Here is a 12,290-nt window from a genome sequence, read left to right as displayed (position 1 = left end):
TTTCATTTATATTTTCTTTTACAAAATCTAATCTGTGGTCAGTCTCATCCAGTTATATTTTATCTTGACATTGTAGTCTCTACAATTTCAATTTAATTCTCTTTTATATCTTCTTTGTCTCTAACTTTTTCAACCTATGGAGTATAGCTAAAATAAATGCTTTAATATCCTTCTCTGCTAATTCTAGTATCTGTGTTAGTTCTGCATCAGTTTTGATTGATTTATTATTCTCGTTATTATGTGTTGCTTTTACTTTTCTAATAAGATGCCTGGTAATCTCTGATTAAATGCCAGACCTTGTGAATTTAACTTGGTAGTGCTAGATATTTTGTATGCCCATACATTTTCTTGAGCTTTGTTTTGAGATGCTATTTGTAAACAGTTTAATCTTTTCGGGGATTGTTTGTATTCCTTATTAAAGCGTTCTGAAGCAATGCTCAGTGTGGGGTTAATTATTCCTCAGTACTGAAGAAGGACTTTTCCTAAATACTCTATGCAAAATCCTATAAATTGATGATTTTTTTCAATCCAATGTGGCCAAGATAGAACAGGTACTGTCGTTGGCCCTGCGTGAGTCCCCAACACTGTTTTCTGTAATCATTTTGGATGATCTCTCTTATCCTAAGGTAGTTTGCTCACACATGTAAGCTGATCAGTACTCTGTTAAATACTCAAGGAGGACTATCTGCAGATCTCTGGGATTCTCTCTATGTGCAGTTCTCTTTTCTCTGGTACACTGTCTTATGAGATTAAGTGCCTTGATTGCCCTGAACTCTCAACTCCATCTTCTCAACATAAGATGAGAGATTTCTAGTTTCCCCTTAAGTTTTCCTTCTCTGCACCGTGGGCGAACATTCTCTCAATGCAACACACTGCAGCAATTGTCGGGCTCACCATTTGTGTGTGTGTGTGTCATCTCTCAGGAATTACTATTCTTCATTGATTGATGTCTAGTGTTTTGAAATTTGTTGTTTTATGTGTTTTGTTTGGGACTGTTTGCGGTTTCAAACGCAAGAGTAATTCTGTCCTCTCTACTCCATGTTGGCTTTTACTGCTATATCATATCGCAAAAGATTGCTGAAGGAGTGTCGAGGGAACATTCCTCAGCATTCCTCAGGAGTGGGCCTGATTGCTTCGGCCAGTCCTTTTTTTTTTTTTTTTTTTTTTTTTTTTGCTAATTAGACCAGGATCCTTGCTTGGAACCATAGTCATAGGCTACAACATAACATCATGTTTTTTTTAAAAACTCACAGATCTCAAGAAGTTACCTCCAAAATGCTAAAAAGCAATCTGTATCCTTGACACTAAACATAGTTTTGAAACAAATCTATGACTCTGTGTGGTTCTTTTGTTTTTCCTTTGTATAGGTATTTTATGGTGCTTGTCTGTATAATTTAGATGTTATGCTCATACTCTAATATAGTATTGTCATTTTTATTACAAAGGAAAATTTGATATTTTGTCCTATGGAATTCTAAGACAGTTTAGCTAGTTTGTTAAAATTTCTCTCTCTCTTTCTCTCTCTCTCCCCTCGTGGTGCTATTAGATATAGATATAGATATAAAAATATTTATTTATTTATAGATTTTCATCCTTCCTGGCTTCTAACTCCCACAGTTTTTGTTATAATGTTGAGGCACTTTAGGCCACAGGAAATAGAATCTCTGTTTCTGACCTCCTGTTCTCTTTCACCTCAGGACTGTAATCTGATTGTGGGTCAAAAACCCCCCATTCTAGGGAGATTCCTGCCCCATACCCTAGAGAAGGAATGCTACACAGAGAGGCCAAGAAAAGTCAGAACAGACAGGCCTCGCTAGGTCTAGATCCTGCGTTTTTTTTGTCTAATCACATTTGTATATGGTTATTAGTCATGCCTACGTAGTGAAGCTCTCATAAAAGCCCTAGAGGACAGGGTTTGGGGAGCTTCGACTAAATGTTTAAGCTCCTGGAGGGTGGTGCCCCAGGGGGGCCAATGCAAGCTGTGCACCCCTTTCCCCATACCACTTCCTATGTCTCTTCATCTGTATCTTCTGTAATATCCTTTATAATAAACCAGTAAACATAAGTGTTTCCCTTAGTAATGTGAGCTGCTCCATCAAATTAATCAAACCCAAAGAGGGTATTGTAGGAACCCCAACTTGAAGCCAGTCAGTCAGAAGTTTCAGAGGCCCAGACTTGTGATGATGTCTGTGGGGAGGTAGTCTTGGGGACTGAGCCCTCATCCTGTGGGATCTGACAGTATTTCCAGGTAGATAGTGTCAGAGTTGAACTGGAAGACACCCAGTTGGTGTCCACTGCTTGGTGGTGGGGGGAAACCCCAATACATTTGCTCATAAAAATCTTCTGTGTTGACGATTGTTGTGGTGTGAGGAAGGAGGAAACTTCCTCCTTGTTGTGGTGTGAGGAAACTGTGAAAACACAGTTTCACGGAGTTTTTCTGTAAATAACCCTCCATAATCATACTTTTATTCAAAGTGTTTAACGCAGTTTAAAAACGCCTTCATGGATTTATTTGTAAACTAGGCAATTTGACTGAACTCCCTTTGTAAGAGTGGTTAGGGAATCTGTAGTTAACACTAAAGATGAAGGTCATAGTCTAGTTTTCCTCTCTTATATAATCAAAACTGAAAAGCTAAAACCACTGAAAATTACTATGTTCTATTATAAATGGCACACTAAAGTAAATCAGCTTTTGCAAATATATGTATATACATATATATATATTTAATTCTATATAGTAAAAAAAGAATTACTGTTATAAGGTAAATCTAAACTTCTGTAACTATTTTAACCATCTTGAAGTAATCTTACTTCATGGTTGAAAAGGCAACTTACGTAACTTTTCAGGCAAACTGGGAAACATTTACACAGATGAGCAGTAACCTAGCATGAGGTTCACCAGAAATGCAAAAGTTATCACAGGGAAGCCTGACAGGAAGTGTTCCCCACCCAGAATTACCACAGGCACACTTCTTTATTCCCGCTATTGCAAATACGTTTAAGTCAATGTGGATCCTCAGAGGGAAGGAGAATAAATGGAAAATAAAGAGAATATTTCTTTCATAATACCCCTTGAGGGATTTGCACACAGTCATTTAAAAATTACCATCCTAGACCTACATTATAGATTCATAGTAAATGTACCACTTTGTCTTGAAGAGAAGTATTTGACTAATTGTTTTACCCTGAGTTCTCCAGAAAGACAGAACCAATAGGATATAATAGATAGATAGATAGATAGATAGATGATAGATAGATAGATAGATAGATAGATAGATAGATAATAGATAAGAGGGGCCTTATTAGGTGAGTTAGCTTACACAATTATAGAGACTGAGAAGTCTCACAATAGGCCATCTGCAAACTGGAGTCCTAAGAAAGTGAGTAATGTGGCTCAGTCCAGGTCTGAAAGCTGTGGTGTAACTCTCGGTCACAGCCTAAAGGCTTGAGAACCCAGAGGACCACTGGTGCAAATCCAGAGTTCAATGGTCAGAGACCTTCAGTACTGGTGTCCAAGGGCAGAGGAAGGAGAGTGTCCTGGCTTCTGGACACAGAACAGAAATTTGTCCTTCCTCTGCCTTTCTGTTCCATCTGGTCCCCAGGCAAGTGGATGGAGCCCGCTCACATTAAGGGCTGATCTCCCCCATTCAGTCCTTTAACTCACACACCAGTCTCCTCTGGAAACACCCTCACCCTCAGAGAGACACTCAAGAATCGTGCTTTATCAGCTATCTAGGTAGTCCTTAATTCAGTCAGCTTGACACCAAAAATTAGCCATCAAACTCATGTAAACAGCTGAGTAAAAAGAAACTTGCCCAGAATTCATTGGTTTGCAAAGAACACTTATCCACTCCAGCGGTTAATCTCTAAAAGAACTACATGCCCATTACACTCAACAAGCAAAGAAATATTGAAGGTAAGTAGAGAGATAAAGAAACATAGAAGGCCAGGCATGGTGGCTCACACCTGTAACCCCAGCATTTTTGGAGGCCGAGGCGGGTGGATTGCTTTGAGCTCAGGAGTTCAAGACCAGTCTGGGCAACATGACAAAACCCCCTCTCTACAAAAAAAATAAAATATTAGCCATGTGTGGTGCTGCACGCCTGTAGTCCCAGCTACTTGGGAGGCTGAGGCTGGATGCTTGCTTAAGCCTAGGAAGCTGAGGTTGCAGTGAGCCTAGATCATACCACTGCACTCCAGCCTGGGCAACAGTATGAGACCTTGTTCCAAAAAAAAAAAAAAAAAAAAAAAAAAGAATGTAGAATGTAGTGTGTTTCCCACAGCAGGCTAATAAAGACTTACTTTCAAAAAACAAACAAAAAATATGAGTTTTCTGGTTCATATGCTCACTATGCATGACACAAAATAACAAACACAGATTATTTGAAATAGAAAGAAAATTATAGGTAAGAAAATCCTCACAAAACTCTCCTCTGGGAAGATTTCTTGTATACAAAGTTTGTGACATAGGTATTTTTTCTTAGCAACATAAAATATGCATTTTTAATGTTTTTGTTATTATCTTGTGGTTGGGCCAAATTCCTGAAGTTGGGAAATTTGTATTTTACCTTAATCTGAGGGAAAATTAACAAGAATTAACGACTTGCCGTGCTTGACTTACAGCGGATTATAGCTAATTTGTTGAAACATATTGAAAGAGAAACCAGTATTTTGAGAACAATGCTAACTTATTGCTCTTTTTTTTCCTTGTGAATCATAAGGCATAGAAGGTAGAATTAGGGAAGAATATATATAGTCATGTGCTACATAATAAAATTTCAGTCTATGATGGACCTCATATGTAATACTGGTTCCATGCCACCAGGACCACTGGTATATTAAAAATGTATTATTTTTTACTATACCTTTTTATTTATTTATTTATTTTAAGAAATGTGGTCTCACTCTGTCACCCAGGCTAGAATGCAGTGGCGTGATCACAGCTAACTGCAGCTTGAAACTTCTTGGCTAAAGAGATTTTCCTGCCTCAGCCTACCCAAAAGCTGAGACTACAGGCACACACCACCACACTCTACCAATTAGTTTTTTCTTTCTTCTCTCTCTTTTTTTTTTTTTTTTTTTTGTAGAGATGAAGGAGTCTCACAATGTTGCCAAGACTTGTCTCACACTCCTTGCCTCAAGAGATCCTCCCACTTTGGCTTTCCAAACACTGGGAATACAAACTAGAGTCACCACATCTGGCTTGTACCATTTTAATGTTTATATATTTAGATACACAAATACCATAGTGTTACAATTGTCTACAGTATTCAGTGCAGTAACATGCTGTACAGGTCTGTAGTCTAGGAGCAATAGGCTATAACATAGAGCCTCGGTGTATGGCAGGCTATGCCATCTAGGTTTATGTAGGTATACTCTATGATGTTCATACAATAAAATCACCTAAGAAAGCATTTTTCAGATCATATCCCTACCCTATCATTAAATGACATATGACTTCATATATATTCATTCTGTGAAAGAAACTTAACTCACGTCTAAGTCAATGGGTGAAATTACTGACAACTCTTATTTCTATGAACTCAGGATGAGTTTAATGAATGCATTTCCCTCACTCTATTCTGGTCTGCAAGACTGGACACAATACAAAGACAATAAATATGGATGGTTTATGGGGAAATAAATCATACTCTTTTCAGGAAGATAATATTAAAAAGTAATAGGATTTTATAACTTACATTTACAATTTTTATTAGAGATATGTACACTACTGTTTCTGTATTTTGTCTAAGAAAACATGAATCTAAAATTGGTAAATATTTTATTAATAAAAAAAGCTTGTAGAGAGAGTGAATCTAGTACTTCCTTTCAGAGTAAAACACAGCTTCAGCCTGGACTTCACAGCATATCCGCAATATATTTAAAATACTTAAACAATTAGAGTTCACTGCTCAAAGTAGGACCTAAATAATTTTTGGAACAGGAGAAGATATTCTATATTTTATATGATTAAACAAAAGCTGTGGACTTGACAGGACTGAGCAAAAAAGTATCCTGGAATTTGAAAACTAAATATATTGTTAGAAAATTCAAGAGCTGAGTGAAATTATTTGTATAGTTATCCAACTTAGACTTTTCAGAAACTGCTTTTAATACCTAAATTATGAACTTGTTTTTTTCCCTCAATTTGTACTACAAATACTTACATTTTGATTTATCATATGCAGTTTAAAGTTTCAATATGCAATATTTGATTAAGAATAATGTATATTTATATATTACAAAACATAACACAAATAAATAACCATGACCACATTACCATACCTAAATGGAATCTTACCAATAAATTTGGCTATATATGTATACAGCTGCAAATGTTATCTCTCTGCACTGTTGCCAAACAACTATATTGAATTTTGGAACTACGGCATGAATTTAATAATTTATCACATATTTTTATTTTTAAAATTTGCTAGCTTTGGACTTTATAGAAGCATACTATTCTATAAAATTTATTTTTCTAAAGATTCACTCATGTTATTGAATGTTGCTGTAGTTTGTTCAATATCATAGCTGTAAAATATTTATTTAGTGCAGTATCCATACTCCCTTCTGTCAATGAATATTGAGTTATATTCAGTGTACTCCCTTATGAAAGGCATTGCATTAATAATCTATCTTATGTCCCCTACTGCATGCTTCCAAGACTGTAAAACAATATTGCAGGATTAGAGTGTATTGAATGTTATTGTATTCCAAAGCAGTATTTATCAACATACATTCACAACAACAAATTATACAAGATCTTATTTCATATTCTCCCCCAAACTGGGTATTAACAGGGCTAAGGGCCCAGTACCTATTGACCAAAGAGTGAACATTGTAGACAGCAGTAAACTCGTCTGCAATGTTCACTCTTTGGTGAATAGGTAATGGATCCTTAACCTGGGTACTTCAGCTGTGAATCATACCCACTCTGCAAATGGTATGTACCTTGACCCATCTCTTCACTCTCTTAGAATTTGAGGGCAAGGGGAGCCGATGCAAATATACTGATATTCATGCCATTTGCTGTGCTGTGAGTGATAACGTCTCATTACTCTTAGGAATCTTTTGTCTTCTTCAACATCTAGGACACTGTGGCAAGCTAACATGTGACCTTGCAACTTGAGTAAAATCTCTGACCTGTCACAGTTGTAAGATATAAACTAAAAGAAGATACTTGTTATATCTAAAACCAACAAATACTTAGGATCCAATATATAGAAAGAATTCCTGTGGATCAAATAAAAGAAAAATAACAAAGTACAAACAAGCAAAAGAAAGGACTTATAATTTAAAATAAGAGTAAAAGGATGAATAAACACATGAAAATATGTTCTTAACTTCATTTGTAATCAATGAAATGATAAAGGAGATCACCATAAGATAGAATTTTATGCCCACTAGTTTGGCTACAATTAAGATATGTGTTAATACCCAGTTTGGGAGAGAATATGAAATAAGATCTTGTATAATTAGTTATTGTGAATGTATACTGATAAATACTGCTTTGGAATAAAATAACATTCGATATATATGTAGAAAGTTACAGAGTTGCCTACGTGGTCAGCTATAGAAACTGCTATATATTAAGATAGCTTTCAGTTTCTGGAAAGAAAGCTAGTAATATTTTCTTTTCTTGATATTCTGTGACAAACTTATTTATTTGAAGGAAGAATTACCTGTTTCTTGACATTTTGACAAAATTCATGTGAAATATCATATCAGTTGGTGTTTCAAGAAATATGTTTTAAAATGATTTAATTAATTTAATGATTAAAATAAAACATTTAAAGAATTTTTCCTAGAAAGTTGTCCATTTCTTCTAAGTTATAAATTTATTACCATACCAATTTTCTTAGTATTATATTTTTAAACCTTTGTTAGACCTATACCAATGTTTTGTCTTTTAAATCATTACCTTCATTTTTACCTTCTCATTTTTCTCAATTATCTTCAAGAAAAGATATTATAACTTAATTAGTCATCTCAAATAATCAGCTTTGGCTTTGCCAACATCTTCTATTATGTTTTTGTTTTCTGTATTATTTCTTTTGCAATATAATCATTTTTCTTGTTATTTTGCTTATATATTAAGTTTAAATAATTATTAACATTCACATTATTTTATGGTAAGCATTTATTAAAATAATCATCTTTTGAGTACCCTTGTCACTATTACATTTATCGATATGCATATATAAAAATTCTAATCGCTTTATAAATTACATCTCTTTGAACTATGAGATTTTTCTCATAGAACTAATATTTCTTTGAACTATGAGATTTTTATCAGTGTGCTTTGAAACATTCAATTTATATAATTTTTGTTTTCTATTTTGATTGACTTAAATTTACTTGTATTATCATTACAGGATGAGTTTTATATCATTGTCAGCATGTAATAGTTACTGAAAATAGATTTTTATTTTAGAATGTGGCCAGTTGTTTGCAAATGTTCTATATGTGCTCAAGCAATTCACACATTATTGTGTTTATAGTTCTACATGATCTCAATAAATGAAAGTCGTTATTGTGTCATTCAAAACTTTACGTTTTTATTGAATTTTTGTCTGTAAAACATCTTTCTTAGTCCATTTTGTGTTGTAATAACATAATGCTATAGACTAGGTAATCTACAAAGAAAAGACATTTATTTCTTTTTGTTTGTTTGGTTTTGGTTTTAAGGAGCAAAAAGTTTAATAGGCAAGAAAGAAGGAAGGAAGAAGAAAACAGCTCCCCCATACAGAGGCAGAGGGAAGAGGGATTCGAATGAAGAGAAAACCCTGAGTGCAGCGGAAATTAGCCAGTTATATGAGGAGGCTGGAGGAGGTGGTGTCTGATTTGCATAGGGCTCAGGGGATTGGTTTGATCCAGAAGAAAGACATTTATTTCTTACCATTCTGCAGGCTGGGAAGTCCAAGTTCAAGAGGCCCACGTATCTGGCGAGGATCTTCTTGCTGCTTCATTTCATTGTGAAAGGAGGAAGGGCAAAAGAAGGTAAGAATTAGAGAACTTGTGGGAAGGGGGCCAAACTCATTATTTTATCCCACTCCCACAAAAACAACATTAATCAGTTCATCCGGCTGAAGCCCTCATGAGTTAAGCGCCTCTTAAAGTTGTGTTGGGGATTAGGTTTTAACACATGAACTTTGAGGGAAAAATTCAAACCATAGCAACATCAAAATTGGAAGAACTGTGATGCAATAGCATACCATAATTAAGGGAGGAGACCACCTCTCATATTGTCTTATGCTCAATTTCTGCCTCCAAAGAAAGAAGAAGTAAAAGCTAGAAGGCAGAAATGAAATCCACAGGCAGACAGCCCAGCGCCACGCCCTGGGCCTAGTAGTTAAAAATCAACCCCTGGCCGGGCGCGGTGGCTCACACCTGTAATCCCAGCACTTTGGGAGGCCGAGGCGGGTGGATCATGAGGTCAGGAGATCGAGACCATCCTGGCTAACAAGGTGAAACCCCGTCTCTACTAAAAATACAAAAAAAAAAAAAAAAATTAGCCGGGCGCGGTGGCGGGCGCCTGTAGTCCCAGCTACTCGGGAGGCTGAGGCAGGAGAATGGCGTGAACCCGGGAAGCGGAGCTTGCAGTGAGCCGAGATTGCGCCACTGCAGTCCGCAGTCCCGCCTGGGCGACAGAGCGAGACTCCGTCTCAAAAAAAAAAAAAAAAAAAAAAATCAACCCCTGACCTAACTGCTTATGTTATCTATGGATTCCACACATTGTATGGAAAAGCATCGTGAAAATCCCTGTCCTGTTCTGTTCAGTTCTGATTACTGGTGCATGCAGCTCCCAGTCACGTACCCCCTGCTTGCTCAATAGATCACGACCCTCTTAGAGTTGTAAGCCCTTAAAAGGGACAGGAATTGCTCACTCAGCTGGGAGCTCGGTTTTTTTGAGACGTAAGTCTGCCTATGCTCCTAGCCAAATAAAGCCCTTTCCTTCCTCAACTCGGTGTCTAAGGGGTTTTGTCTGCAGCTCATCCTGCTACATAATGACAAATTTGTTATTTTTCTCTACTGTTGTATTTATTGTCGATTCATATTGTTTAGACTATTTTATCATTTTCTTAATTTGTTAATTGAATGCTTTATCTTAGAGTAACAGCCCCCAATTTTTTGTTTTGCTTTGTTTTGTGTTCTCATATTTTTTCATGCCTTTATTTTCAAACTTTCTATAGTCTCATGATTTTAGTGTATATCTTATAAATAGCATATAATTAGATTTTAATATGCAATCTGATAATTATTTTGTTCATGTGACACAATTAGTCTATTTAAATTCACTCTGATAATGAAACTATGTAGATTCTCTTAAAATATCATTTTCTGTGTTTGGTTTTTCTATATTTTTCTACTCATGTGCCCATTTTAGGTGGTAGTAATTATGTAATTATTTTTTATTATTTAGTATTTGTCTTAGAAATTTTATCATGAGTATTTAACTTATCAAAGCCAATAAGCAACATATTAATCCATCTCCTAAATGATAAATGAAAAATAAAATTATACCATTTTATTACCCTGTGAGCTATTTTGTCATGTAATTTAGTTCTTTTTATTTCACAAGTTAGACATGATAAATAAAATACACAACTAAATTGTACCCAAATGAATAATTTGATTCTTCTATGTTTGTATTCCTGCTTACCAACTCTGTTTTATATATTGTTAAAGTATTTTTAGATCTGAGCTTTAATTACATAAAAGGAAATACGCTTTTCTAAGCTTATAATTCAAATGCTATTGACAAATATATTTTCAGGTAACTGTTACTGTGTAGCCAAGATCACTAAATGTATGCACCCCGTCTACCTAGAAACTACTAATCCACTTTTTTTTTTTACTGTAGTAATGATTTTTCTTGAATTCCATGTAAAGAAACTATAGCAATTATAAAGTATATACTCTTTGTCATCTTTTTTCTTCAAAAAGCAAAGTGATTTTGAGTTTCACCTATGTCACTTGTGTATCAGTTTTTTTTTTATTTTTTGATGAATTGTATTCCATTGATGGATATATCACATTTTTTATCCATTCATGAATTGACGATGGACATTAAACTTTTTATTTTGCAGTGATTGTGAATGGAATTATATAAAAATTTGATTATAAGTATTTGTGTGGACATGTTTTAATTAATCTTGGGTATGTATATCAAAAATAGGAATCAATGAATCACATGGTGATTGTATGTTTAACTGTGTAATACACTGTTCAACTGTTATCTAAGTAGGCTGTATCTTTTTTCTAAATCTCAATGATATATAAGAATTTGCATTGCTTACTATAGCTATACTTTTAAATTTAGGATACTTTAATAGGTACATAGTGATATTTAATTGTGGTTTTAATTTGCATGTGATTTGTATTTTAATTTAATTTGTATTTCATGGCTAGTGATGGTGAGCATGTTTCCAAGGGCTTATTAGCCATCCATTTATCTACTTTAGTGAAGTATTTTTTTCAGATCTTTTATTCATTTAATATTGAATCATTTGTCTTCTTATTGAGTTGGAAGAGTACATAATATATTCTGGATGTAAGTTGTTTAACTGATATGTGTTTTGAAAATACTTTCTCTCAGCCTGTGGCTTCCTTTTCATTTGTTTATCTTTCAAGGAATAATAATTACTAATTTTGAATTAATTTATTTATCACTGATTTTCTTCTATAGTTGGTGATTTTGTGTCCCTCGAAAACATTTGCCTAATCCAATAGTTAAAAAATTTTCTCCTAGATTTTCTTCTAGAAGTTCTATAGTTTTATGACTTATAAATAGGTCCAGAATCAGCTAAGACATCTGGCACTCTAAGGCTAAATCCTCCTGCTAGTGTATGTATTTGAGTTGGGGACACATTTAATGTTTGAACATTGTTCAAGTAAAAACTAGGACAAATTTGAAAAGTTAGTAAATGAAGTTGCCTTAAGCATAAAGACATACATTTCCTAAATTCTATGTATCTTGCATTTTGAGAGTTTAGTTATATGGCTCCCCATATACTGGATTAATCATTTACCAGGGTTGATATATCTAGCTAATAAGATTCTGAAAATCCTATGTAGGATGAATTTCCCATAGTAAAAAAGTTCATTGGTTTTTTAGTACTACATTTCCATAAGAATTTATATACCACACAATTTTTTTTTATAACACTGGTGAAAGCAGTAGTAGTTGAGAGAGACATGAAACTTATCACAGTTACAAAATACACAGGAAACTGATTTGAGGGAAGAAATCATAATGAAAGGCCCATTGCTTACTCTAGAATTTC

General features: G+C 34.6%; 1 long non-coding RNA gene across 1 annotated transcript in view, besides 1 other annotated feature; it reads right to left on the bottom strand.

Moving 5' to 3' along the window:
- Positions 1 to 12,290, bottom strand: part of LOC105377535 (uncharacterized) — a 92,939-nt gene that overhangs the window by 65,495 nt on the left and 15,154 nt on the right. The window contains exon 2 of the long non-coding RNA XR_939444.2: positions 8,903 to 8,966. This is a non-coding gene — a long non-coding RNA (uncharacterized LOC105377535). The remainder of the gene's footprint in view (positions 1 to 8,902; positions 8,967 to 12,290) is intronic.
- Positions 3,370 to 3,429: a silencer, noted in NCBI's record as "silent region_15800". NCBI's record gives its function as "represses an Ori minimal core promoter by ATAC-STARR-seq in GM12878 lymphoblastoid cells {active_cell/tissue: GM12878}" and the evidence as "EXISTENCE:reporter gene assay evidence [ECO:0000049][PMID:35858748]".

The sequence above is a fragment of the Homo sapiens genome, chromosome 4 (assembly GCF_000001405.40).
Source record: "Homo sapiens chromosome 4, GRCh38.p14 Primary Assembly".
Classification (NCBI taxonomy): domain Eukaryota; kingdom Metazoa; phylum Chordata; class Mammalia; order Primates; family Hominidae; genus Homo; species Homo sapiens.
The sequence above is the reverse complement of the archived record's forward strand: the minus strand, read 5'-3'. Positions and strand labels throughout refer to the sequence as shown.